The 27,832-nt window shown below is 49.8% G+C and overlaps 1 protein-coding gene and 1 long non-coding RNA gene across 7 annotated transcripts in view, besides 9 other annotated features; one reads left to right on the forward strand and one right to left on the reverse strand.

The window, feature by feature from the left end:
- KCNIP1 (potassium voltage-gated channel interacting protein 1) overlaps positions 1-27,832 on the forward strand; it is a 383,146-nt gene that overhangs the window by 269,362 nt on the left and 85,952 nt on the right. The gene's annotated exons all lie outside the window — the stretch shown is intronic.
- Positions 717-1,011: an enhancer, noted in NCBI's record as "tiled region #9502; K562 Activating DNase unmatched - State 12:CtcfO". NCBI's record gives its function as "activates a minimal TATA promoter and a strong SV40 promoter by Sharpr-MPRA in K562 cells {active_cell/tissue: K562}" and the evidence as "EXISTENCE:reporter gene assay evidence [ECO:0000049][PMID:27701403]".
- Positions 2,495-2,994: an enhancer, noted in NCBI's record as "H3K4me1 hESC enhancer chr5:170052347-170052846 (GRCh37/hg19 assembly coordinates)". NCBI's record gives its function as "activates a minimal SCP1, AML or CMV promoter by ChIP-STARR-seq in primed H9 embryonic stem cells {active_cell/tissue: H9 hESC(primed)}" and the evidence as "EXISTENCE:reporter gene assay evidence [ECO:0000049][PMID:30033119]".
- Positions 4,228-4,728: an enhancer, noted in NCBI's record as "H3K4me1 hESC enhancer chr5:170054080-170054580 (GRCh37/hg19 assembly coordinates)". NCBI's record gives its function as "activates a minimal SCP1, AML or CMV promoter by ChIP-STARR-seq in naive H9 embryonic stem cells {active_cell/tissue: H9 hESC(naive)}" and the evidence as "EXISTENCE:reporter gene assay evidence [ECO:0000049][PMID:30033119]".
- Positions 4,729-5,229: an enhancer, noted in NCBI's record as "H3K4me1 hESC enhancer chr5:170054581-170055081 (GRCh37/hg19 assembly coordinates)". NCBI's record gives its function as "activates a minimal SCP1, AML or CMV promoter by ChIP-STARR-seq in primed H9 embryonic stem cells {active_cell/tissue: H9 hESC(primed)}" and the evidence as "EXISTENCE:reporter gene assay evidence [ECO:0000049][PMID:30033119]".
- Positions 9,906-10,487: an enhancer, noted in NCBI's record as "H3K27ac-H3K4me1 hESC enhancer chr5:170059758-170060339 (GRCh37/hg19 assembly coordinates)". NCBI's record gives its function as "activates a minimal SCP1, AML or CMV promoter by ChIP-STARR-seq in primed H9 embryonic stem cells {active_cell/tissue: H9 hESC(primed)}" and the evidence as "EXISTENCE:reporter gene assay evidence [ECO:0000049][PMID:30033119]".
- Positions 10,262-10,441: an enhancer, noted in NCBI's record as "active region_23612". NCBI's record gives its function as "activates an Ori minimal core promoter by ATAC-STARR-seq in GM12878 lymphoblastoid cells {active_cell/tissue: GM12878}" and the evidence as "EXISTENCE:reporter gene assay evidence [ECO:0000049][PMID:35858748]".
- Positions 13,257-14,006: an enhancer, noted in NCBI's record as "H3K27ac-H3K4me1 hESC enhancer chr5:170063109-170063858 (GRCh37/hg19 assembly coordinates)". NCBI's record gives its function as "activates a minimal SCP1, AML or CMV promoter by ChIP-STARR-seq in primed H9 embryonic stem cells {active_cell/tissue: H9 hESC(primed)}" and the evidence as "EXISTENCE:reporter gene assay evidence [ECO:0000049][PMID:30033119]".
- Positions 15,657-16,452: an enhancer, noted in NCBI's record as "H3K4me1 hESC enhancer chr5:170065509-170066304 (GRCh37/hg19 assembly coordinates)". NCBI's record gives its function as "activates a minimal SCP1, AML or CMV promoter by ChIP-STARR-seq in primed H9 embryonic stem cells {active_cell/tissue: H9 hESC(primed)}" and the evidence as "EXISTENCE:reporter gene assay evidence [ECO:0000049][PMID:30033119]".
- Positions 16,310-27,832, reverse strand: part of KCNIP1-AS1 (KCNIP1 antisense RNA 1) — a 42,313-nt gene continuing 30,790 nt past the window's right edge. Inside the window, exons 5-6 of the long non-coding RNA NR_136214.1 lie at positions 19,207-19,297; positions 16,310-16,698 (exon numbers count right to left, since the gene is read on the reverse strand). This is a non-coding gene — a long non-coding RNA (KCNIP1 antisense RNA 1). The remainder of the gene's footprint in view (positions 16,699-19,206; positions 19,298-27,832) is intronic.
- Positions 16,453-17,246: an enhancer, noted in NCBI's record as "H3K4me1 hESC enhancer chr5:170066305-170067098 (GRCh37/hg19 assembly coordinates)". NCBI's record gives its function as "activates a minimal SCP1, AML or CMV promoter by ChIP-STARR-seq in primed H9 embryonic stem cells {active_cell/tissue: H9 hESC(primed)}" and the evidence as "EXISTENCE:reporter gene assay evidence [ECO:0000049][PMID:30033119]".

A 27,832-nucleotide genomic window follows, 5' to 3' on the forward strand; every position in this document is an offset into this window, starting at 1 on the left:
GTTGCTTTAAACCAGTGGTCCCCAACCCTTTTGGCACCAGAAACCGGTTTTGGTTCAGTGGAAGACAATTTTTCCACGGACAGGGTGTGTGGGGTGGGAGATGGTTTCAGGATGAAACTGTTCCGCCTCTGATCATCAGGCATTAGCATTAGTTAGATTCTCATAAGGAGTGAGCAACCTAGATCCTTCGCATGCGCAGTTCGCAATAGGGTTCATGCTCCTATGAGAACCTAATGCGGCGGCTGATCTGACAGGAGCGGAGCTCAGGCGGTAATGCTTGCTCGCCAGCTCACCTGCTGTGCAGCCGGGGTCCTAACAGGCCACAGACCCATCCGTGGCCCAGGGGATTGGCGACCCCTGTCTTTTTTTTTTTCTTTTTTTTGAGATGGAGTTTCGCTCTTGTTGCCCAGGCTGGAGTGCAATGGCACGATCTCGACTCTTCAACCTCCGCCTCCTGGGTTCAAGCCATTCTCCTCCCTCAGCCTCCCAAGTAGCTGGGATTACAGGCACCCGCCACCATACCTGGCTAATTTTTGTATTTTTAGTAGAGATGGGGTTTCTCCATGTTGGTCAGGCTGGTCTTGAACTCCCGACCTCAAGTGATCCGCCCACCTCAGCCTCCCAAAGTGCTGGGATTACAGGCGTGAGCCACCACGACCTGCCCGGGGACCCCTGTCTTAAACCACCCCAGCCTGTGATACTTTGTTATGGTGACCCTAAGAGGCAAATACACCCTCCTTTCCCCAACCTCTCCCCTCAGACGAAACCGATGCGAAAAGTGCTTCATGAAGTTTCAGGTAAAGAAGTCTGGGACGAAAAGGGATAGTGAGGATGGCGGGAGGGGCTGAACTCCAAATGGGCTTATCAAGGCTCTGCAAAATGGCGTGACGGCGCTGCCCCCTTCTGGTGGCCTGAAGACTAACGCACATGATGTCAAGTGCGGGGCCCAAGTACTCAGGAAAAGGTTCTCATTTGGACACTGGGAGGTCTTACATTGGGGGCCCTGAGCCTCCAGCCCTTCCAAATCTATTCTCAGCAGGAGCTCAGCCACACCTGTGTCCCAGAACTGAGGCCAGGCCCAGCCTTCACTCCACGCCCAGCCAGCCCCAAGGAACCGACTCCCTGAGGCTCTATGCTCCCTGCCTCCAGTGGCCCCGTGTCTGGGAAATAGTGGCCCTGGCCTGATGCCCTGACCTGGGCAATCCATCCCCTGGTCCTCTCAGCTCCCGGGCCCAGGTTTTCTGGGCTACTTTAACCAGGGCAAACTCATTCCTCGAGTACAAAATAAAAGATTCGAACAGCATAATCAAATAGGTCATACCCATAAATCAACACATTTGAGCACCTATTTTGTTGTTCTTTCACTAATCCAAACCATATTTATTGAGCATCTACTATGTGCCATTCTCCAGTAGCCATTCTAGGTGCAGGGGATACAGCAGAGACCTTGAAAAAAGGAACAGTCTCTGATCTTGCTGAGCTTAGAGTCAAGTGGAGGTGAGGAGGAAGGAAATGAATTAACAACTAAGTGAAGCAGAAGGTAACCAATTGATTGACTGACGAAGGGGTACAAACAACAAACACCTTCCTTTCTCCAAACTCTATCTTTAACTGTATTCTCTCGTTTTCCTTCCTCTCCATTTTACAATCATTTTACAACATCTCTGGCTATTCTCCTATATTTCTGATCACTTCGGTTCTCATCACAATAATAATTTCAGTTTTCAAGCATTGGAAAGTCCCATCCAATTAAAATGTCAATCTCACACGCAGTTTAAACGTTTCGCCTGCCCGTGAGCTCAGACCTGTCTTGGTGCCTCAGTTCTTGTGTGGAGGGGAGGAGAGGAGAGGGGAGGGGAGGAGAGGAAAGGAGACCGGGGAGGTGGGGGGGGAGAGGGGAGGGGAGGAGAGGGGAGGGGAGTGGGGGAGAAGGGGAGAAAAGCGCAGCTGGCTTCCTCACTCTCCTTTCCTTCCTCACCATCCTTACCCTGGCCCAGGGCAGGAGGAGGATTGGCAGAGTAGAGGCAGGGTCTTCTGTCTTAGCTGGGCCTGTTGGTGACTTTCTGTTGGCCAACATGGGCTGACTGGAATGTTCTCCAGCATGGCACATGGTCATCCAGATGCAGGCTCTTCCCTGGGGCACTATAGCAGAGAGGGCTCTCTTCCAGTCTATTGCAGATGGATGCCCTCGTGAGCTGAGTTTTGATGAACATCCCATGTCCCCAGCCACCCCATTCAGAGCCTCTTTCTACTCTGGTCCTCTGGTCCCAGCAGCAGCCCTCTGGGTACTGAGGGGAGGGCATCTCACCCAAGCCCCTTAAACCTGCTCACCTTCTTCAGAGCCCACGTGGCCGCAGGAAAGTCACAAACCCTTGTGCTCCCACAGGGCACACGTGTGCACACGTGTGCAGCTACCTTCTCTCTAGTTGGTACCTGAGGCTGCCTCCTGGATTTTCCAGTCTCTGTGTTCCCAGACAACCCCAAGCCCCAAGAATACAAGAGCTCTGTCACCAAGCATCGGGCCTGTGGCTGCACTACACGTCTGCAGCTCAGGACCCCTGGCTGCGGCGTAAGCTACCAGCATCCCCTTCTCATGGGCACCCTCATCTCCGGCTCCCCATCGCTGGGCTGTGACCTGCGGGGGCGCCCCTCTATGGAAGGGAAGGAGAAAAATTCACAGTGCTATCTACTCCTCTGAATGCACTCCCACCAATTTCCTTGGAAATTTCTAGCTTTCACTGACATATCTGGGATGGGGCGGTGGTCACAAAATCAATCCCACTTTCCCTCGGCTAGTCTTACAAGCACCCAACAGCTCTATTCAGAATACAGGGCTGCCCAGCTACTTCCCATTCATTATCCCCAGGTTGCAAGCTTTAGTCAAAACCCAGAGGCAGCAGGGTGTCTGGTTCCACCTGCTGTTAGGATGATTTCAGGAGTGCAAAGTGTTAGAAACGCGGTAAAACATGATGCTTAGAGATTAAGTGGGATGGGGACTGGGCAGATGATGCTGCTTTGGACCCAGCGAGTGAGGTGAGACTGCGACAAGACAGAGCCACTGAGCAGTGACCTGGGGGATGGGCATTGCAGGCAAGGCAGAACCCCAAGTGGGAACAACCTCACTGGGCTTAGCAAAACTAAAGAGGCCCAAAGTATACTGAGCGATGAGGTGAGTGGCGTGGGATAAGGTTGGAGAGGAGGCTGGAACCAGACCCTGCAGGGCCTTGCAGGTGATGGGAAGGAGTTTGGAAGGTGCTGGAAGGTTTGAAGCAGAGGAGGGATATGATCATGCCTGTAGCTGCTATGTAGAACAACTGTATGCATGCCAGGCCTGTGCCACGCATGCTCTAATCATTACTGGCTTTAACCCTTGCACTAACGTTGTCATGCAGGTAGGAGCATCTGCACCCAGCAAATGGAAACTGAAGCTCAGGAATATTCAGTCACTTGTCCAAGGCTCCCCAGCTGTTAGGTGCTAAGGCTGGATTCAATCCAGGACTTGCAGACTCCAGTATCTTGGCTTTTCTAACGAGAGTGTGCTAGCTTTCTAATGGGGGTGGGGAAGGCAGTCTGCCCCCCTCCCATGGCACCGTGAGCAGGTGTCACTGCTCCAGCCAGTACGCCTGGACACCGACTAGGAAGGAGTATGTGCTACTAGGAGGGATGGTCTGGGCTGACTCTTTGAAGTTGACAAGGAGTTGCATAATCCCAGCTAATAATTATGCTGGACCAGGGGCAGAGACATTACTCCAAGGGTGACCAGGTGTGGAGAAGAGGCTGCTGACTCCGGGGCCCCAGGACCTGGCCCCCAGGTCTCATTGCCCGAGTGCTGCCCCAGAAGGAGTAGAAGCTGGAGCTGTCCGGGCCACAGCCGAGGCTGGGTGAATGCTGCAGTGAGGCTGCCGCACAAGTTGCGTGTTGTGACATTTGTCTTCTGGAGGGGATTGGGATGGGCTACTTCAGCATTTAAAAACCCCTACTAGGTCTGAGAAATCCCCTCAGCTTATGAGCCTGGGTGGGCAGCAGGCCTTCTCAAGAAGCCCAGAAGGCCAGATGCTCACTTCCCAGGCTCTCTTGCGGCTGAGCTGAGAGCAGGCACCTGAGGCCTGGCAAGTGTGACAGCTGGTGACACAGACAGACAGGGACAGGGAGATGGGACTGTGCCTGCAGCGGTAGCCCTGGCCGGTGTTCAGTGGGGCCAGCATCCGTGTCTTTCCTGGGGGCCAGTGGGGGCCGTGGCTCTGACGATGCATCCCTCCCCCACGTTTTTTCTCTTCTTGTCTTGGACTTTGCAGGGAGCACTCTGCTTTTGGGAACAGGAGCTGGGTCTCTGGCCATTCTCCGCAGCCCCTCACCATTCACTCAGTGGCTCTCAAAAAATAGAACCTGGGGCAAAGCTGTTCTTGGCCCCAAACAACATGAGGAAAAATAAATAAATAATGTACCTGGTAACTGAGAGAGTTCCCTCTGCATCTTGGGCTCTTTCAATGAGATGTCCTCTGCCTGCAGCAAGCCCCAAGGGCTTCCCTCACCAGGACCAGCACCCTGGTTTGCCTGACCCCACACCTGCCAATGCCGGGGCAAGAATGTCCCAGGCTGCCCTGGTTCCCAGAGCTGATGCTTCCCACAGTGCCCAGCTGTGCTGGCATGGAGCTAAGGACAGGGCCAGTCCCAAGAAAACAACAAGGCTCCAGGGCCACCGGCCACTGCTCAGGACCCTGGCTGACCCCACAGATGCGGAGTGCCTGAGATGGCTCATGGGTGACCCCCAGGCATCTGGCAAAGGTCACAATGGCTGTTTGGCTTGAAGACAGCCCTTGCAAGATCTGTTTTGAGCCAACCTGTGGCATTTAGCCCTCCCTGGGTGACAAATAAAAAGGCTGAGGCTTGTAGGAGCCAAGGTGGGAGTCCCCATCTACCCCCACCCTCTCAGCCCACCAGGGCCCAGACTGGGGAACTGCTCCTGCTTCGAGGGACAGGGCTGAAGAGGAGAGGGGCTTGGGGCTCCCCTTGATCCCAAAGCTCCAGGGACCCCAAAGAAACGTATCAGCAGCATGAGAATATCGGGTGACCTCTCTCTCTAGTAAATGTCAAAACTTTTAACCAAAATGCCTTCATCCCCCAGCGCCAGGCCTGAGCTAATCTCATAGGTGTCAGGACTGGGAGCCTGGACCCCTCTTCCTTCTGCTCCTGCTTTGCAGAGAAGTGAGTGGGGAATTCCCGCCTCTGGGAATTCAGAGACGAAGTGACAGAGACAGCATTGGAAGATAAGAATGCAGCCAAAGAGGTCTTCAGGGTAGCGTGTGGCCTGGGCGCTGAGACTATTGGGCCTAGCAACTTCTCAAGCAGTCTATTAACCACAGCCGGTAGCCAGCTTTTCCCCGCCCTTCTCCCAGGCACACACAGCCACCTCCATCACCAAAGGTCAGGCGAACCACCTCCCATGGCTACCCCCAGCCTGACTTGCTTTATAGAAATCATGGCATCTCATCCTCACAACAGCCCACACTCACAGTGAATCTTGGCCATTATGACAACTGGGGACACTGAGGCTCGGAGTGGTGGAAATTCTCAGAATCACATAACAATAAGTGTTAAAGTCAGAATTTCAACTTCATCTCTCTAACTCCAAAGGGCGTGTGTGTGTGTGTGCGTTTCTGGCCATAATCATATTGTGCCCTACAAGCCCCAGTGAGGAATCTGCTAGGAACACTGGTTTGGGGAAAAAATGTAATAAAATATGTGATCCAGAAGGCGGCCTTGGTACCTGTCATAAACCGCAGCATGGGGTACTCACTATGCCTGGGGTCTGGGCTCTGAAGGCATGATTGAATGATCTCACTGCAGGCCTGGTTGTCCTGCGAAGACACCCGTCAATACATGAATATTGACACACAACGCTGCAGTGCACGCGCTTCTGGCAGGGGAGCTGCTGCACTCGAGGGCAGCTCAAGGTTAATTTGCAGGGTTCATGTTTGGAGTTTCTGAGCAAGTGTTGCAGCTTTGGCCCCCAGCCCCCTGAGGGGAGCTCTGGCCGTGCATGAGGGTCAGACAGAAAATCTCCTTTCCTCCATCCAGGCCTGCAGTCTGCAGCACTGAGGTCAGCGCTGGCCACAAGCCCACCCTGTGCCTCGTCAGCCCCACTGAGCCTCTCCATCTATCATGCCACAGGCTGACCCTGAAATGCAAAATCATTCTGTCCTCCCGCCCTCCACTCCCACCTCGCACATCTATGGATTTGCTGTTCAGAAAACATCTGTTCCCTCCTTCGCCCCTGACATACGCATCGATCTCATGCTAGCCCAGCTGCCTAAGCTCACCACTCTGGGAGACAGACTCTCAGTCCTCATCAGACAGAGATGTAGGGGGCTGTAAGGGACGGGGTGCAGGTAGGGCCTGAGGATTCCGACAAGGTGAGCCATGGGCAGGGGCATTGTTCATGCAGGGACCTCCTGGCCAAGGTCCTACGTCAAGGTTAGAAGGAAAGAGTAAATGATCGGATAGGCTAAGACAGCAACTCAGCAGGCCAAGGGACTCCTCCCCCAGGACCTGCTCCACCCTTAGAGGGGTCCCGGACAGCCAAGCCCTGATGGAGTTGGTCAGCAACCAACCAGCCCTGGGGCCAAGGCCTGCAGAAGCAGAGAGGAGGGGTCTCAGGCAGGCCAGAGGTGCTAGCTGGGATGCCTGGGTCCCCCACCCCACCCCAGCACACTGTCCTTTCTCCAGGTGCTCAGTTAGATTGAGCTGGGTCCCATCTTGGGCCTTTGCTGGTCCCTCCCTAGAAAGTCTGCCCCCTCCCCCTGCAGGGTGGCATCAGCATTCAGGCCTGGCCCTGACGCCCTCCTCTCTGGGCCACCTTCACCTCCACAACCCCGGCACCAGCACCCATCCCCACCACATCCCCAGCACGCAGCATCTAGTAAGGGCACCAAATGCATGCCCAGACATATGAGTGAAATGAATTAACCCTGAACCTGAAAAAGGGCAACCACCACACAAGATTCTCTAGAAACAATGTGAATTGTGCAGAAGGAAATTAACCCTACTCCATCCAGCCCATCCTAAGGCAGGGACTTGGACCTGTTCCTCTTGATGGGGCTGGGGCTGAGGCGGGCAAGGCAGGCAAGTGCTGAACAGTTGGCAACATTGCCCATCCCGTCTCCCTGCACCAGGCTGGGCCTGGGGTGAGGGGGTGGGGGCCGGGGTAGCTGGGCTCCTCCAGCAAAGAGCAGGACTGAGTCCCTGGTGACTATTAGGTAAAAGGTCCCTGACAATTTTGAGGGGCCAGATGCCAACTCGAGGGATACAGAGAAGATCTAGGCACAGTCTTTCCCCACCATGTCAGACAAAAAGGTTAGATACAGGACCTGATATGTTATAAAACTCAATCAATATTTACTTAGTGAATAAATGGACGGATGGATGGATGGATGCATTAGGCAGCCAAGTGGGCAGCACCGATGACTTAATGTACTGAGTGCTCCGACTCCAGCAACATGCATTCATTGTTCCTACTGTGTGCCAGTGAACAAGAGCAATGAACTCAATGACTTCTGCCCAGGGTGGGCCAGGGAACCAGGGAAGACTCTCCAAAAAGGCAGCATTTGGGCTGGGACGTACAGATGAGTAGGGGGTCGAGTGTGTCGTTATGTCGCTGGAGCCCAGAGGCGTCCATCAGGACTTGGGGGAGGGCAGATGAAAGGGCCTTACTGCCTAACTTGGAGCCACTGTATGTTTCAAAACAAAGGAGAGAGAGGATCCTGGGAAAGAGAAAGGGTACTCTAGGCAGAGGATGTGAATGGGCACAGCACAGGTGAGAACATCAAGACCAGGGGTCAGGGAATCTACTGGTAAACAATTGTACCCCAAGGGAGCAATCACAGCCTCTCCATCCACAGGGAAATGCCTGGTGGGGAGGAATGGGAGGAAAGAAACAGATTGCATGACTGTGTCTTGAAGGTCTAATTCCAGAGTACAGCATCACCCCTATCTTCCAGGTCCAGAAACTGAGGCTCAGAGGGAGACTTTCTGATGAGTGCAGCGTGCAGATAAGAGCATCTCCAAAGCTACCTCCTTCCCCAGTCACACCAGGGCATAAGCAACTGATAACAGCTGTCAGCACGGGACAGTGGAGGGAACACTAGGTTAGGAATAAGGGTACGAGGCTTGAGTACAGATTGTCAATGACTCAGTGTGTGAACTTGGTCAGGTGACTCCAACCAGATGACTTCCTTCTCTGAGCTTCTGTTCCCTCCTCTATGAATGGGGACAATCACTCAGCTTCACAAAACAATGGCTGCGAAATTGCCTGGTACAAGAGAGAGAACTTCCAGTGTGTAGGGGCTGTTGTCCTAACTGCCCAGCCCCCTAGATAGGTAGTTATGTCATCTGTGAAATGGGTGTTAGAATTCCTACCTCCCAGGACAGCTGTGGGCAGAAAACCAAAGAATGTGTGTGAGAGCCCAAGCACCATGCCTGGCACATAGTAGGTGCTCAGGAAAGGCTGAGGGTGCAGCTGCTGTCCACACACATGGTACCACTGCCCCAGGAAGGGGCTTCAGGAACCAAGAGCAATTCTGAGCACTGGTGACTGGACTCTGCCATTCTCCATTTCAAACGCTTTTTGAAAGCAGCTCCAGACCCAAGCAGGAGAGCAGGAGGCAAAAGAAACGCAGGGGCTTTCCCGAATGGAATTTTAGAAACACACAGAATTGTCTCCTGCACAGAAGGGAAGCTGTCTTCCACAGCACAGAGCCACCAGGCCCCAGACTGCTGGCTTATGTATTTGTCATTGCTCATCATGAATGGATGCCAGGAAAGTCTCTTTGTGATGGGGGCACAACCCCTCAAATCTCCTCCCCTCCAGATGCCATCCACTGGAGCTGAGACTCCCAGGTCCCCTAGGGCTTCTCTCCCAGGGGCCTCTGGGCTCCCCAAGGCCACGTGCTGCCCCCACTAGAGACCTGGGCCAGTCCTGACCAGGGGAAAGAGTAGCGCCGACAACAGCCCCAGATGGTATGTGCACTGGCACATACTGGCAGCTGCCTTCATGACAGCAAGCCATAGGTCCAAATCCCGCCCCTTCACAGGGACATTCCCAACTGGTCAGGGGTGGACCTCCCCTTCCCGGCTGTCTTTGGTGTCCAGGACGATTTGCCACAGACAGGGGGAGCTAAAGGGGCCCACGCTTGAGGCCGCTCAGCTCTGAGTCCTCGCCGGCCACAGAGGACCTTCGTGCCTGTCCTCTGTCCTCCTGCCCAGTCCCCAGGCCAGGCTCAGCTGGAGTTGGGGAGCAGAAAAACACGCATCTGAATCAAGGCTCTCGGAGCCTTTGCTTCTGCCTCCAAGAGGCGAGGGAAAATGAATACCCAGGCGAGCGAGCAAGAGAGACCCTCAGAAAACCCCAGATGCCCCTGGAATCAAGCCCTGTCCCACCAACGCCACGTGGATTGACAGGCTATTAGTCTTCCTGTAATTAGGATTCTCGCCTCAAATCTTGTATCTTTTTCCCCCAGAAGATTCTCCTCCAGCCTTCACCACTGCCCCCTGGCGCTTCCTTGCAAGGCTTTTGAAGAATCCTTTGCAGAGAAGCAGCCTCCTTTGGCAGGGGCTGCAGAGCACTCTGCCTCCCTAGGCCAGGGCGAACCAACAGAGGCGGGAGATGAGGAGGAGCAGCGCGGCTCTGCTGCGTGGCCCTGGGCAAGCACCACAACCTCTCTGGGCCGTTTGCACATTCTTACCGCCAGGGATGTGGGCGGTAAATGAAAGAGACCAGCACAAACCAGTGTCAGCTCCCTTCCTCGATTCCTAAAATGTGATGCCCAAAGATGGGCCAGCCTCCTGCTGTGCCTTCTCTGGGGGGACATTTAATAAGTGGAAGAGCCCTGGCTCTGAGTCAGGCTAGAATCCCAGTTCTGCACTTAACCAGCTGTGTGACCTCAGGCAAGCAACCTGGCCTCTCTGAACCTGAGTTTCTTCATCTGTAAGTGGGAACGCTAATGCTGTGCTGAGGGTTCCATGGGACAACCATGTAAAAGCACCCAGCACGCACCCAGCAGGCAGCAGGTCCTGCACAGCGTTCCCTCGCGTGGGGGTGGGTTGGGGCTTGAGCACGGGTTGAACCTGGAAGAGGCCATTTCCCTCCCTTCTCCCCGAGGAATAATTGTGAATTCCTGGGTCTCAGAGGAAACATCCGCTTTGGTGGTCAGAAAGGACATCCTCCTTTGAGCAGGGGGAGAGCAGAGGGAAGGGGGTTGCGAGGGTCACGCCTTCCCCAGGCATTCTCGGGGTCTCTCCAGCAAGGATGGAGGCGGCCAGGGGCTTGGGCGGTGTGGGGCGCCACCTGGCGTCCAGAAGAGGTAAGACAGGCGGAGCGGGACCCTCCGAAGTGGGAGGAGGACGCTGGTCAGGGGAGGAGGGGACCGCGAGAGCGAGAGCGGACATTCTACCAAACACATGGACAACACAGAAGATGAGGAAAATGAGCAGGGCAGCTAGTCATAGGAGCAAATTTTAAAAATTAAGTGACTGAGGTAGTCAGGGGGCCTCACTGAGAAGTGGCTTGGAGTAAGACCTGAAGTTGGGGACTGGATATGCAGATGTCTGGGAGGAGAGCTTTTCAGGAAGAAGAATCAGCCAGTGCAGAGGCCTATGGCAGACCCAAGCAGGAGGCAAAAGAAACGCAGAGGCTTTCCAGGATGGAAAATGAAGAATCAGCCAGTGCAGAGGAATGTGCCTGGATGTGTTCCAGGAATGTTTCAGAATGAGCTAAAAGGCCAGGGACAGAGAACTAAGAGGAGAGGAGAGGTCAGAGAGATGGCGGTGGGCGGAAGGAGGGGGCGGGGCGGAGGAGGGGGCGAGGGGGCGGGGGGGCGGAGGGGGGGACGGAGGGGGGGGCGGGGGGCGGGGCGGAGGGGGGATGGGGCGGGGCGGGGTGTGGCTGTGCGTCTGGATAAGGGTTGTGGCTTTTATGCTGCACGAGAAGGAGAGCCATTGGAGAGCTTGGGGCAGAAACAAGAGCTGATGACATTTTAATCCCTCTGGCTGCTGTGCTGGGGTAGACTGTCAGGGCCAAGGGCAGAGTGTGAAAAGCGCCCAAGAGGCTTCTACAAGAATCTAGTGGGAGATGCTGCGGCTCTGGCCAGGTTAGTGGCAGTGCCAGTGGTGAGAGGGATGTGGTTCTGCGGGTGTTGTGAAAATGGAGCCAGCGGGATTTGTTGACAGACCAAAGTTGAGGTGAGACAGAGACTCCGGAATGACTGCAGGGTTATTGGTCTGAGCAGGGTTATTGGTCTGAGCAGATAACCAGATGGAGTCACCACTAACTTAGATGGAGAAGGCTGGTAGAGTGAGGAAATATCGGGAACTTATGTTCGGACTTGTTAAGTTTGAGATGGCTGGGAGATATCTAAGTGGAGAGGGCAAGGAATAAAATGCTTCCTAAACTCCAGCATCCATTCAGTCCCCTGGAGAGCTTGTTAAACCGGATGGATGGGTGCCACGCCCACCCCTGCACCCCTGAGTTGCAATAGGCCCAAAATGATTCAATAGGCCCAACATGGGGCCCAAGGTTCTACATTTCCAACAGCTTCCCAAGTGATGCCAATGCTGCCAGACTGAGAACCACACTTCGAGTAGCACCAAAGTAGGCAACTGGATGTTTGAGGCTGGCATTCAAAAGAGAGATCCTGGCAAGAGATAGAATTTTGGAGTCATTGGCACGGAAATCCACAAAACGACATGAGCTCTCCCAGGGAGTGTGTGTGTGTAAAGAGGGAAGAAAAGAGCATTGAGTCCCGAGCCCCAGGCTCTTCAATGGTAAGAGGTTGGCAGATTAGGAAGGACCAGCAAAGACTGGGATGGGAAACCACTGAAGCAAGAGGAAGGCCAGGCAGATGTGTCCTGAAAGCCAAAAAGAGAAAGGTCATCATTAATATGATACATTTTGCAATTTGTTTATATGTAAGAGGAGATTAATAGCTCATAGCATTCCCAGGCATTGCTGTTAGGAATTGCAGCTCCAGGCTGGCAACCCTTAAATCACAAACTAGATTGTCAAGAGGACTGCCTGGAATTCCAGCTCTGTAAGTAATATGCTGTGTGGCCTCAGCCAGGTCACTTCACCTCTCTGGGCTTCTCTTGCTTCCATATATAAATGTAATAAGAAAATCTTTTATTTATTATTTATTTATTTATTTTTGAGACAGAGACTCGCTTTGTCACCCAGGCTGGAGGGCAGTGGTGCGATCTCCACTCACCGCAATCTCCGCCTTCCGGGCTAAGGCAATTCTTGTGCCTCAACCTCCTGACTAGCTGAAATTACAGGCACCCACCACCACACCCAGCTAATTTTTGTATTTTTAGTAGAGACGGGGTTTCATCTTGTTGGCCAGGCTTGTCTCAAACACCTGACCTCAAGTGATCTGCCTGCCTCGGCCTCCCAAAGTGTTGAGATTACAGGAGTGAGCCATCACGCCCGGCCAAGAAGACCTTTTAAAGTAGATGTTCTAAGAGTCTCTTTCAGTTCTGAATCTCTTTGTTATCTTACATGTTACCCCCTCAGAGATGCCTTCCCTCACTCCCCTGTCCAAGGTAGCTCTCCACCCAAGTCAGCAGTCATCACAGAACCATCACAACCTGAAGCCCTGTGCATGTTGCTGTTTATTTCCTGTTTACATCACAACCTGAAGCCCTGTGCATGTAGCTGTATACTAACCCTAGAGTTAGTATAGCTTAGTTAAACTTTCATTTATTGCTAAAGGTTTATCACTGCTGTCTCTATCAGCCTCCCTGCACTGTAAGGGACAAGGGGGCAGGTCCAGTTTCTGTCTTGTTTCAGGTTTTGTCTCCAGCCAAGATAAGTATCTTTGCAAGGCTCTGTTTTTATTCTGAAAGGAAATTAGGAGCTATTGGAGGGTATGGAGTGGAAGGGGACAGTCTTCTGCCTTGGATGTATAAAAGGGATGCTGGGCCACGCTGATGGGCTAGACCATGGCAGGCAGAGAAAACAGGCAGGAGGCCAGGCAGGGGCTGCCAGTGCCCAGACACAGGCCGGGAGGTGCAGGTGGCAGTGGCAGGCAGTGGCCAGGCCCTGGGTATATTTTGAAGGTCAAGCCAACAGGACTTGCCAGTGGGCTGGGTATGGGCATGAGACAGGCAAGTTCTCCCAGATGTGACTCCGATGTGACATTTTGGAGACTCCCTCAACACCCACCTGGGGAAGACAGACCAGTTGGGAGGAAATATCTGGAGTCTCATTTTATTAATTCTGAGAGTTTGTTGTATTAGACAGTGAAGCGGAAATGTCAGGAAGTCAGCTGGAAATAGGAGTCTGGAGTTGGGGGGAAAGCCTAGCCAGAGACAGGAATTGTGGCGTCATTGGCGTAGAGACAGCGTTTAAAGCTGTGACGCTAGATGGGTTCACCAGGGGAATGAGAGTCGAAAGAGAAGAGCAGAGCAGAGCTGAGCCCTGAGGGGGGCAGAAAGGCACACAGGGACAGTGGAGGCAGGAGGCAGAAGGCAGAGGGTGGCGGGCCAACAGCTCTGAAGGTCAGTGCTCTATCACAGGGGGGTGGCCGAGGAGGGGCCCGAGGCTGGAACCAGGAGGCACTATCCCAGGCCTGCCTTCTCATGCCAGCAGCAGTGATCTATCCTCAAGGAGAATATTGATTGAGCACCTACTGCATGCAGAGACCTCATCAATGGCTCAATCAATATGACACGGCCACGCTTCCTGATCCGAGCCCTCTGAGCAGGTATTTTCCATCCTGGACTTATCCCTGTTTCTCAGGAGAGGGATGGACCCAAGAGACAAATAGTTCCCCCAAGATCGCACAGCAAGCCAGTGTAAAACAAGCATAGAAACCAGCTTTTAGGGGGCTCAAGGTGGGGGTCAGAAAATGAGGTGAGAGCAAGCATTTACTGAGCACCTCCTGTAAATATCTCCTACATACGAAGTGCTCTACCCACATTACTGACCACCCAATAAAGGCAGGTCCTGTAATTCCCAATTTGCAGATGGATAAGCAGAGGCTTAGGGGTGTGAAACAACCTCCTCAAGGTCATGGCTTCTAAGTGGTGGAGCCAGGCCTGCAAACCAGGCTGTCTGAATCCAAAATCCACCTCCAAGTCCACAGTGGGTTGGCCCCACCCCCAACCCATCCCCATCACCAACAGGACGGTGGTCAGAGTCCACTGAATGAAAGCATGCGTGCATTCAAAATAGACAGCCAATCAGCAGCCTTCCATCAGAAATGTCATCTTTATGACAACAGCATCGATTCCAGGCGTACCCTGCATATGTGAACCAAGGGGGATGGTGGATTGTCCTTTCCAAGCACTTCCCAGCCCCTTAGAGTCCCACAGGCCCAGAACCACGGCCCTTGACACCCTCTACCCACCCCTGCTCCCCCTTCTCCTCAGACCCCGAGTGTCTGGCCAGGCTTTCTCACTGGGAAGTGGCCACTCCATCCAAATGACCACCGCACCCCTCCTCACCAGCTTCCCTGCTTCTGCCCTGGCCCCCACTCTTTGAGTCCATTCTTCAACCAGCAGACAAAGGGGTGCTGTACACGCCTCTGCACAGAACCCCTCCAATGCCTTCTGTCTCAACTCAGAGCAAAGGGCAGCAGCTAGCACACTCCAAACACTCCCACCCACACCTCAGCTCCTCCCTCTGTCCCTCTGCTCTATTCCCTCAGATCTGACGGCTCCATCCCATAAACGTGGCACACACACACCTGCCTCAAGGCCTTTGCTCAGGCTGTTCCCACTGCCTGGAGCACTCTTCCTGCAGACACCCACGAGGCTCATTTTCCTTTAGTGAGGCTTTCCTGGCCGCCTCTTCCAGATAACAACTCTCCTCTCCTTCCCTGCCCTCCTGCTCCTCCTGTTCGCGCTACATAACAGACTCTGTGGGGCCTTGGTTTATGTATTTCCTTCTCTCCCCTACTGAAATACATGTGAGCGATGCTGGGGCAGGCCGACTAGAAGAAGCAGACTATCTGCTTCTTCTCCACCCTTAGAATGGTGCTGGGCCCAGAAGAGGCATGCAGTCGATATTTGCTGAATAAATGAATGTCAGATAAAGTGGTGTGGGGACTCCAGGGGAAAGATTTGTCATTCTCCACCCTCCCAGTTCAGCTTAAAGCAGAGAAGTGAGAGGTGCCCAAAAAGGGGTGTGTCTGGGGGGTGGGGGGTGGGGATGTTCCAAGATCTCCAAGGCCTGGATTTTAAGCAAGGTTTGAGATGCCAGCAAGAGGGCCTGGCATTGCCAGATTGATAGTCTGCATTTCAGAGAAGGACAACCCCACCTCTGACCTTAGCCCAAGCCTCAACAGCCTGCTCAAGGAGATCCACCCTTAGTAGGAGGAGGCAGCCAGGCCAGGTTCCAGTCCCTGCCACCGCTTGCCAGGTGTGTCTTGGGCAGCAGTTGCCTTTGCTCGGTGGTCTTCAGCTTTGCCCCCTGCCAGGCACGTGCTGGCCTCCTGCCTGCATCGTAGCTCATGGAGTCCTCTCAGTCACCTCTGTATGCCCTGCAGCATCCCCAGTTCTCAGTGAGAAGAGTGTGCTCTGAAAGTTAAGTAACTTACCCAAGGTCACACAAGGTCTGAGTCTCAAATGCATACAATTTGACCCCATAGTCTAAGGTCTTGACCGCAATGGAATAAGAAATTATTTTACCATTCTGAGTGGCAGTCTCTGAAGACTACAGCAATAATTGATGCCTCTCAGGGGGATAGGTGTGTCACTTACAGGTGATAGTGAGGTTGTCCTCAGCCTCCCTGCTCTTCGTTAGACCTCCCTCCTCCTCTCTACCCGGGCCAAGCGTCCAAGGCAACCCTGTGTGTTGCATTGCTCTTGGGGGCAGCCAGTCCCCCACATAAAGTGGTGTCTTCCTTCAGCTCCTAACAAGTCATGTGGCCATTGCCCACACTACAACGACAGAGGAAGCCTCAGGGGAACCCTCCTCCTCTCCCGAATCTCCGGGCTTCCTGCATCCCTGGGAGGCAATGTCCATTAATTCCAGCTATGACCAGCAGAGGGCAGCAGCAGCCTGGGGAAGACCCAGAGGCCCAGGCCTAGGGGAGAGGCCGGTGTCTCCACCCTAGGAGCCCCAATTCCTCCGCAGCAGGAGCAGACACACAAAGAGGAGGGCGAGCAAGGGTCCTCCGGGGCGGAACACCTCTGCCGCACCTGCAGCAGCCTTGCTCTATTTCTTCACAAGCTTCCCCATGACACTGACCCAAGGCTGTCTGGCCACTACAGCTGCTGATGATGATTAGCAATAATAATAATAATAAACGAAATGCCTTCTGCTTAGATCATCTTTAATTTCCCCTCCAGAATGACATTCGACTCTGCTTAGAGTTACAGGCAGCCCAGCAATTACTGAGCGCAAATACCGTGTTCACCCGCCTCACCTCATCCACGCCCCCACAACACCCAGCCCTGAGACTGGCTCCACGATCACCTCCACTTTATAAAATAAGATATCAAACTCTGAACAGAACGGACGTCTCAAAAAATGGGCATATTACATTTAAACCCTCAATCTGTTGGGTATTTGAGTGAAATGGACATACCTCCAGGGAGTCGGTGGCGAGGGCCGGCTCTGAGGACTTCCTGGGTTGGGATCCTGGCTCTGCAGGACTGCGTGACCTTGGTGAGTTACTTCATCCCTCCAAACGCGCTGTTCTCCTTCATAGAATGGAGATGACCACAGGGCCAGATTCATAAGGTTGTTCCTTGTAATACAGGTGAATATCCATACCCAGCAACTGCTGGACCACCTGTGGTTTCAAGGATAATTTCCCTCCCACGTCCCCGTGGCCCTTGGAACCTTCCTCTCCTCCTGTCTCCCCCTGCCCCCATCACTTTGTAATTGAAAAGTCATGATTGCTCTCCCAGGTGTAGCACTGCTCACAGGTCAGATTGCCTGCTCTGACGTAGTGACTCAGTTGGATGCGGTTCAGCTGTGTATGATCAACTCCCTCCCCCTGACAAAAACATTATTTTGCATCACAGAGAAGTTGATTTCTTTCACACATAAAAGAAGGCAAAAAGTGGTGCCTAAAGGGCTGGTACAGCAGCTTCAAGAAATCAGGAAGAACCTGGGCTCCTTCTGCCTTCTTGTTCTGCCAATATCACCCCATGGCTGCCACTTCATGGCCCAAGTGGAACCATGGAGCACCACCCTTCAGACCCATAGGTGACAACAGCCTGCTCTGTGAGAGTGGCAGTGGCTTCCAGAGAGACTTAGGAAGTAGAATCAACAGGACTTGGTGACAGATTTGCCACAGAGCTGGGGAACAGGGAGGTCCAACGGTGACTCCCAAGGAGCTGATGTGAGAACCAGAGCTGCTGTGAATATTGTTCCCAACTCCTGAGACAGGGACAGTGGTCCCGTGGCTAGGAAGTGGTAGGCAGTAGAGAGTCACAATGCACATTAGTATATCAACATTGTGAGTAGGGCACGCAGGGAAGAAACCTGTTCAACCCAGCCCCGTGCTAGAAAGACATCAGCAGGGCCTGCAAAAGCCCTGATTAAATCTCACAAGTTTGCACCTGGAGCCGCCATCTTGAATTGCAGGTGAATATCAGCCTTTGGTTTGGGCTGTGTGCCCCAGATGATGGTGGTCCCAAATTACATAGGCCAATATCCAGAGCTGGGTTAAAATGAAGCATTTCGAGGAAAAAAATGCAATGAAATTTGTTTAACCGGTACTTCAGGCTTTTGAGCACAGAACAGCGTCCATCCCTCCAAACACACACTGAGGATATACACTTAGCCAGGAGGGAACATAAGGAGGGGTGGACAAGCCATGTTTACTAAAATCTCTCAGTGTGTGCCAGGCATGTTCATGTATATTCAGGAAGAAGTGTCAGTATTTAAGATCCTCGGCCCTTGCCCGAGTCCCCAACACGCCTTCTTGTCTGGAGAACTGTAAATCTTGGAAACATCTTGCAAGGGGGGACACCTCACAGAAGGCAGGCTTGGCATGGGATAAACAGAATCGACTCCTCTGCTTCCTTCTGATGCACAGTGAATGGGCAGGTGGAAGCATCGTTGCTTAAAGAGGAACCAAAACTCCACCCCAGAGCTGCTAATTCCTTTTGGCTTGCAGTTATGCAGAGGGCTAAAAAATCCAACGAATCACAAATCCCCTGGTTGCTAAGTAGAAAGAATATGTTTTGGCTGCTGCTGTTCCCTTCCCCAAGGAAAAGATTCAAGCAGAGGCGGTCCCCACCTCTCAACACAGAAAGCAACATCTCTGATTGCCTCTAGACACACCTTCATGCTCGTGGCACTTTGGGACCCTCTGCCCGCTGGCTTATGGGCATGGCTTCCCCATCACTCTGGGTCCTTGGGAAGAGCCTCTTTCCCAGACCCCACCTCTGTGCCTCATCACATTTCTCCCAGGCTATTGACTTGTTCAAGGTTAAGGTATGAAGAGAGTCATGCAGCAGCCCTACCTGGCTCTGCTCTGCTGGGGGAAGCCTTTTCAGAGCCTGCCTCTTCCTCAGCATGAGGGGCTGCTCGGGCCCAGTCCCAGAGGCCATGCTGGTCCCAGGGGAAGGTGGCCGTCATCCCCATCTGTGTTTTCTCTTGCAGGTAAGTCATGCTCCAGCAGTCGGGAGGGTTGTGTGATGACACACTTGGCAGTTTGGGAGCAAAAGCCGCCACAGTAAGACACAATTGATTCATTGCCTCTCAACCCTCTGCTGGGGTGGACTTTCATGCGTGGACTTCTGTCCCCAAAGAGGCTTCTCTGGGTCTGGAAAGGGCCCTAGCCTTGGTTGGGGGAGGCAAAGGGGTGGCGGCTTCCAGGTACCATCTGGCCAGGAACCGGCTCCATTGTCTGTGCATGTAGCTTGCACTGGGCTGCCTGCTCCAAGGGAGGCATCTCCCCACGATCTACGACATTGGCTTCAAAGAGCTGCTCCTGGCAGCTTCGAATGGCTGAGACCTACTGGCATGGGATGGAGGAGTGCAGGGAGCTTCCCGGGACCTCGCTAGTCCTGCCTGGATGCTCAGAAGGCCCTCGTCCTCGGTGGCATGCAGCCTCGGCCATTTCCAAACTCACGGCATCTCACCCAGCCATGTCACCCACCCCCGGCTCTGTCGCCCTTCCCATCACCTTTCTCCCACCCATCACCTCACATCAAGGTTTCAGCCAGCGGGAACCAGGTTTAGACTCCAATTACCTGTGCGTGTGGGAGGTTGGATTGTGACATCTTTGGAGGGCCGGGCTTCTGAAGCGACATTTGATTTCTGGTACTGAAATGTCAAAGGGTCCTGAGGCACCCGCTAGGGCAGCACGCGGAGCATCCACCTGCGTGCGCATCCTGGGCTCTCTCTGGGCCACTTGGTGCTGGGGACATGCCGGGAGCTGGTGGTCAGCCCTCCTCCTGCCTCCTCAGTGCTGCATCTTCACCTTCTGCAGCTGCCTACCAGAAGCAGGGGGACCTGGAAGGCAAAGGAGAGGGAGTTGGCATGTAGTGAGCACCGACTGTGCACACAGTGCCAGCAAGGAGCTTCACACTCATCTCCAGCGTCACAGCTGCCCAGTGGCTGTGGAAGCCGATGGACTGGGCCCTCTCCCAGTACACAATCATTAGAGGGTCTCAGTTCACTGAGTAACTGTGGGAGCAGCACGGTGCCTCCATCAGCCCCCAGTTCTGCTTTCGAAACATCGTCACCATCGCCAAAGCAAAGCCTCAGACCTGCAGGCCAGCGCTCCCATGCCCCATAGCCGGGAGTAAAGGACAGATGCGGGGAATCTGGAAGGAGATTCACTTCAAGCACCATCCCACTCTATTTGTTAAACTTGTGCTCCTGTGAAAACTGCTTGTGTCTGCATCAAACCCAGCTAGGGAGGGCTGAGGGCTAAGGGTAAACCTGGGAGAGTTGAATTCCAGTGCTGTGATTAAAACCAATATTCCACATAATGCAATGTAACTTGCTCACATCGTCCCATGTAATCTTTAAAGCCACAGCCCTTTTGCAATTGGGATTATTATCTCCATTTTACACTGGAGGAAACTGAGGCTCTAAGAGGTGAAATGATTCACCCAGTTAGGAAGTGATGAGTCCAGATGTGGTAGACTGAATAATGGCCCTCACAATGGAACCTGTGAGTGTTCCCTTAGATGACAAAGGGCCTTTGCAGATGTGATTAAATTCAGGATCCTGAGATTGGGAGACATTATCCTAGATTATCCAGGTGGGTTCTAAATGTCATCAGAAGTGTCTTCATAAGAGGAAGACAGAGATTTTGCTACAGAAGAGGGGGAAACATGATGATGAGTCAGAGGCTGGAGTGACACCTGGAAGGGGCCATGAGCCAAGGCGTCCAGGTGGCTGGAAGCCAGAAAAAGGCCAGGAAATGGGTTTTCTCTGTGAGCTTCCCCAGGAAACCAGCCTGGCCAACACCTTGACTTTAGCCCAGTGCAACTGACTCCACATTTCTGGCTCCAGAACTGTAAGAGAATACATTTGTGTTTTGTTAAGCTAGCAAATTTGCAGTAATTTATGACAGCGCTATGAGAAACCAAAACACCAGGATTATGCCCCAAGGATCCTGATGCCCTCCCTCCTCTCTGCTCTGCAGTGTGCTGGAGCTCACAGGGCTCTGCTGCTGGGAGTTAGTATCTAGTCCAACACTTTACCCACTCACCCCCCAAGCTAAGGGACTCCTGAAATCAGGGACCAGATGCATAATAGGTGCCCAGGAAGTGAGACTCGCCTTCCCCAGATTAAGAATAAAGAAGACAAACTATCCACGGCTGCTGTGAGCCTCTCATCAGACCTCAGCTTCTAGGGCAGGGTCCCTGCCTGTCTCCAGTATGTGGCCTCTGTGTCTTCTTCGCCCTCCATCCCCACAGTGGGACGAGAAGTCATCAGGAAGGCAGGGGATCTGCAGGCAGCCATCAGGGCTCTAATTGCAGCTGGCTGGGGGACCATGGGTCAGGGCTGCCACCCCCTGGCTCTGTGCCTTCACCTGTGTAACGAATGGGGCACTCACAGCCCCTCTCAAGTGGTCCTGGGGATGAAGTGAGAAGGTGACATATACAAGTGAGTTATACACGTTCCTGTTCTGTCACTCACCAGTGCTCACTGGGTGGGTCACTGAACTCCCCTCAGCGTTTCCTTCTCCATCTGTAAACCACCAGTGCAAACCTTTCCCAGATAGTGCTGACCCGAAGCAGGAACCAGTGCCCCTCTGCCCTCAGTAAGTCTGCCAGCAGAGGAAGCCCATAGAGGGTCTTGGGAAATGAAGCCAACAGAGTCAAGAGGGTCAGATGATGAGGGACTTCAAGTGCCACCTTCATCCCATTCTTTCTGCAAATATTCACCACACACCTACGTGACCTCAGGCTCTGTGTCAGGTCCTGGGGATGTAATGGTGTCCATGAAGAAACAAGGTCCCTGCCCTCATAGAGTGGCCTGACATATGCCCGAGGCAGTCAGCAGCCGAGTGCGGGAGACTCTTGAGCAGAGATTGAGTGTGTTGATATCTGTAGGCATCAGCCTGGCTTTGCTGAGTGAGCTATATCAGAGTGGAGGAGGCCAGAGGCAAAGTCCAGACTCCACTGGATCCTGGATTGAGGGGAGAAGGGGCTGGGCGGAGGAGCAGCCTGAGCACCTGCATCTCACTCCAACTGGGTGCTGATTTGTCCCCATGGCCCCAGCACCCAGGCAGGTCACCAAGTAAGCTCAAGACAAAAATGATGAGTGACTCAACAGTGTCTGGGGACAAGGGAGGGAGAGAAGAACTCAAAATGACTGAGGTTTCCAGCTACCAGAAAAATGGAAGGACCTTGAAACAAATGGGCCATCAGCAGGGGACACTGGCTGGAAGCCCAGAGTCCAGTCAGCTCTGTAAGGCCCCCAGAATAGGCATTTGACTTCAAGTCACAGGCATTTCAGCAAAAGCCTCTTTGCTACAGTGATTATGGTGAAGCAGATGCCCACAGCTGAGATGGGCAACTCTCAGGCCTCCAGTGGGGACAGAGAATCCCTGGGCCCCAACATAGCTTGGCCTGAAGATCTGAGTCAGGCATCCAACCTCTTCTGCTCAGCTCTTTCAGGAAGATGTGTATACTGGCCTCTCTTGCCGCAAGGGTCCACCACCTTCCTTATGTGTGACCTAAGGCTTCTAGTGCTGGCTCAGTGGCTAATTTGAGCATAAGCACCCTTGTTGGTAAAATGAAGGATAGGTGTAGATCAGCATTTCCCAAAGTGTGTGCTTCTCAGAAAATTAGGTCCCTGGTTGTCTGTAGAGGTTACTTAACAAAGAGACTCTGTAGTTATGTTAGAAATAAATCTTATGATTACCAGGATTAGTCTCTTTAAAGCTTGTCTAGGTGGGTCACAAATCCGCCTCAGTCAGGCTTTAAATGGGGAACAGGGTTTAAATTGGATTTAAACATTTAAAAACCATGCTAACAAGAACCAAAAGAAAGTGAGAGTAGCTACATTGATTTCAGACAGAGCAGACTTAAGGAACATTGTTAGGGATAAGGATGGATATTACATAATAACAAAGGTGTCAATACTCCAAGAAAACATAACAATCCTTAATGTGTGTGCACCTAACAACCGAGGGTCAACATACAGAAGACAAAAAATGATATAAATGCAAGGAGGAATACATCAGTCAACTGTTACACTTGGAGGCCTTAACACCCCTCTACCAGAAATGGACAGATCCAGCAGGCAGAAAGTCAGTCAAGGCATAGCTGAACTCAATGACACTATCAATTAACTGGATGTAATTGACATCTGTAGGCTACTCATCCAACAAGAGCAGATATCGTATTTTTCTCAAACCCACATGGGACGTTCACCAAGATAGGCCACATTCTGAGTCATTAAACATACTTAACAAAAGCAAAATAATAAAAATCATACAATGTCTGCTCTCAAAGCACAATGGAATCAAACTAAAAATCAATAACAAGGAGATAGCAAGAAAATCCCAAAATACTTGGAGATTAAACAACACTCCTAAATAACATAGGTCAAAAAAGAAATCTTGAGAAATTAAAAAAAAATACTCTGAATCAACTACAGATCACACAAACATCAAAACAATAATAAAGGAATATTATGAACACCTCTATGCCCACAAATTTGACAACTTACATGAAATGAACCAATTCTTTAAAGTAAATAATCTGCCAAAATTCGCACAAGAAGAAATAGATAATCTTAATAGCCCTATGTCTATTACAGAAATTGAATCAATAACATCCTTTCGAAACAGAAAGCACCAGGCTCAGATAGGCTGATTGGTGAATTCTAACAAATATTTAAGGAAGAAAATGTATCAATTCTCTACAATCTCTTCTAGAAGATAGGAACAAAGGAAATATTTCCTAACTCATTCTATGAGGCCAATATTACCCTAATACCAAAACCAGACAAAGACATCAGAAAAGAAAACTACAGACTAATATCTCTCATGAACATAGATGCAAAAATTCTCAACAAAGTATTTGCAAATTGAGTCCAACAACGTATAAAAAGAATTATAAGCCATGACCAAGTGAGATTTATCCCAGTTATGCAAGGCTGGTCCAACATTTGAAAATCAGTTAATGTAACCCATCACATCAACAGGCTAAAGAAGAAAAATCATATAATCATATAAACAGATGTGGAAAAAGCATTTGACAAAATCTAACCCCCAGTTGTGATTAAAACTCTCAAAAAACAAGGAATAGAGGGGAATTTTCTCACCTTGATAAAGAACATCTACAAAAATCCTCCAGCTAACATCATACTTAATGGTGAGAAACTAGAAGCTTTCCTACTAAGGTACAAGGCAAGGATGTCCCCTCTCACTCCTCCTTTTCAACATCATATTGGAAGTCCTAGGTAATGCAATGAGACAACAAAAGGAAATAAAAGGTATACACATAGGGAAGGGAAAAATAAAGCTGTTTTTGTTTCCAGATGACATGATTATCTGTATAGAAAATTGAAAAGAATCAACAACAAAAACAAAAACCTCATGTAACTAATAAGCTATTATACTGAGGTTGCAGGATAAGGTTAATATACAAAAGTCGATCACTTTCCTATATACCAGCAATGAACAAGTAGAATATGAAATTTAAAACACACTACCATTTACATTGGTAAGGTATATCCCAAAATGAAATACTTATAATCTAAATAAGTATAAATCAAATAACATATGTACAAGATCTATATGAAGAAAACTACAAAACTCTGATGAAAGAAATCGAAGAAGAGCCAAATAAATGAAGAGTATTCCATGTTTGTGGATAGGAAACCTTGGTATTGTCAGGTTATCAGTTCTTTCCAACTTCATCTATAGATTAAATGCAATCCCAGCCAAAATTATTGGTTATTAGCAACTATTAACAAATTATTTTATGGATATCAACAAAGTGATTTTAAAGTTTACAGAGAGAGGCAAAGACTCAGAATAGTCAATTTAATACTGAAGAAGAAGAAAAAAGTTGGAGGATTGACACAACCTGATTCAAGACTAACTCTAAAGCCATGATAATAAAGACACTGTGGTATGGGTGAAAAATAGACAAGTAGATCAATGGAACAGAACAGAAAGCCCAGAAATAGACCCACATGAATAGAGTTGACTGATCTTTGACAAAGGAACAGAGGCAATACAGAGGAGCAAAGACAGTTTTTTCAACAAACAGTGCTAGAACAACTGGCCATCCACATTAAAAAAAAAAAAGAGTCCACACACAAACCTTGCACCCTTCACAATAATTAACTAAAAATGGGTAATAGATCTAAATATAAGACACAAAACTATAAAACTCCTAGAATATAACATGGAATCATATCTAGAAGATCCTGAGTATGGCAGTGACTTTCTAGATATAACACCAAAGGCACAATCTGTGAAAGAAATAATTGAGAAGTTGGAATTCATTAAAATTTAAACCTCTGCCCTGTAAAAGGCAATGTTAAGAGAATGAGAAAATAAGCCACAGACTGGGAAAAAATATTTGAAAAAATATATATCTGATAAAGGACTGTTATTCAAAGCATACAAAGAACTCTTAAAAATCAATAATTAGAAAATTAAAAATCTGATTCAAAAATAAGCAGAAGACCCGAACAGACATTTCACCAAGGAAGATATACAGATGGCAAGTAAGCATGTGAAAAAATGCTCCACATATGTCATTAGGGAATTGCTAATTAAAACAATGATGAGATGCCACTACAGAACTCATAGAATGGCCAATATCCAAAACACTTAACAACACAAAATGTAGGTGAGAATGTGGAGAAACAGGAACTCTCATCAGTGCTTCGTGGGACTGTGCAAAACAGTACAGCTGCTTTGGAAGACAGTTTGGCAGTTTCTTACAAAACTAAACAGACCCTTACCATAAGATTCATCAGTCATGCCCTTTGGTATTCACCCAAGTGAACCAAAAACTTGTGTTCACACAAAAAACTGCATGTGGATGTTTACAGCAGCTTTATTCATAATTGACAAAACTTGTAGGCCACCAAGATGTCCTTCAGTGAGCGAATGGTTAAATAAATGATGGTGCATCCTGGCAGTAGAATATTACTCAAGACTAAAAAGAAATGAGCTATCAAGCCAGTAGAAGGCATGGAGGAACCGTAAGTGCACATTACTAAGTGAAAAAAGCCAATCATGCTTCCAACCATGTAACATTATGGAAAAAAGCAAAACTATGGGGACAGTAAAAAGATGGCTGGTTTCCAGGGTTGTGGGGAGGAAGGGATGATTAGGTGGAGCACAAAGGATTTTTAGGGCATTGAAACAGTTCTGTATGCTACTACAATGGTAGACATATGTCGTAATTCATTTGTCAAAACACAGAGAATGTACCAGGAGTGAACCCTAATGTAAACTATGGACTCTGGGTGATAGTGATGTGTCATTGTAGATTCCTCAGTTATTACAAATGCATCATCCTGGTGTGGGATGTTGATGGTGGGGGAAGCTGTGCATGTGCGGGAGTAGGGAGTATATGGGAACTCTTCTACTTCCCACTTAATTTTGCAGTGAGCCTAAAACTACTCTAAAAAATAAAGTTTATTAATCAACAAAGAACACAGTGAGCTGCAACTTCATAACCAGTAGATTGACAAGAATTAAGAAATTTAATAAAGAATTGATTAGAATATGGAGCAACAGGAACTCTTACACATTACTGATGGAAAAGAAAATTGGTATACCTACTTTGTAAATAGTTTGGAAATGCCTAGAAAAGTTGAATATGACCCCAAAATGACCTAATAATGCCACTATTAAGTATTGACCCTAAAAAATTATTGTTGAACGCATTTTTTAAGAGATAAATGCAAAAACATTTGTTGCAGTATCATTTCAACAGCAAAAACTGGAATCAATTTAAACAGCTCTCAGTGGTTGAATGAATAAACTCATTTTATGCAAAATGAAAATAAAAATAGATATGGGAACAAGATTTACTATCAAGTGGTTTTCTCAACTTTCCTCTCTTCTTAAGAATATTTTATTTTGCCTGCCATCAAAACTTTTGTTCCAGGGCATCCATGGTCCATTGTTTAGTTTCTGCACTGAACAAAGGCTCTTGATGAAGGAGTGAGTGGGAGCTGAAATCCAGCCATGCTCTGCTCCCCAAGCCATGCATTTGGGTGCAGGCTCTGTCTCTACCCAGAGAGAGGAGGCATCTTTTACTTCAGATATTGATGTCATCTATTCCCCAAATCCAGTGCTTACAAGTCTGGATCTGCCCTGTGGGAAGTATTTTTCAAATTCATCTACTCAGCCTGAGCATCATTTTCTAACTCACACAAAGGCATTTTTTAGATTAGTAGGAGCACTGACCTGTTCACCACCCAGCCTATCCATCCTGGTACAATCCTGTTGTAACCAAGCAGGTACCCAGGCCTTTTTAATGCAGCAGAGAAATAGGAAGTGAGGCAGGAGGGAGGCAAGGTGATGTCTTGTCTTTTCTTTGTCATGAAAAGGTCAGGAAAGGGACAGATAGAGTGAAAGAAGATTGGAAAATAAGCCAGAGAGGCTCGGTTGTTCTTCATAACAAAAAGAAGTTGGGGGTAAGTAAGAGAAAGAGCCAGGAAAGAGAGCCAGAAAAGTCCCAAAGGAGGGGTGCCCTGGGGAGCCCTCTTGTGCTTTATAGCATGAGTGGCTCCTGTGCAGTTGGGAGAAGGAAGAACATCAGAGGGGAGAGAAAAGGGAATTTTAAGAAATATTGCTAAGCGTTATAGATTAGATACCCTTTAATGTAAATATTCAAATTCCTTTTTATAAAAAAAGATATATTGAAATATAATTGAAATACAAAAAAATTGTACATATTAAACATATCTGATTTTATTAGTCTGGACATATAGCCAGACCTATGAAATCACCACAATCAAGATATGAATATAACTATCACCCCCCAAAGTTTCTTCATGTCCTTTTTAATCCCACCTTCCATCCCTCCCACCCTGCCATCCCCCACCTCAGGTAACACTGATCTGCTTCCCGTCAGTAGAGAGTAGTTTGCATTTTCTACAGTTTTATCTAAATCAGCCACGCAGTATGCATTCTTGTCTGGCTTCTTTTATTCTGCATTATTCTGGGACTCATTCACGTTGTGTAACTGAATACTTCATTCCTTTTTATTGCTAAGTAGTATTGTAGTATTTCTTTGTATGGATATACCACAGTAGGCTTATTCATTCATCTATTTATAGACAATTCCAACTTTTGACTATTACAAATAAAGCTACTATGCCATTCACATACAAATCTTTACGTGGAAATGCTTTCATTCCTCTTGGGCAAATACC

Source organism: Homo sapiens, chromosome 5 (genome assembly GCF_000001405.40).
Source record: "Homo sapiens chromosome 5, GRCh38.p14 Primary Assembly".
Classification (NCBI taxonomy): Eukaryota; Metazoa; Chordata; class Mammalia; order Primates; family Hominidae; genus Homo; species Homo sapiens.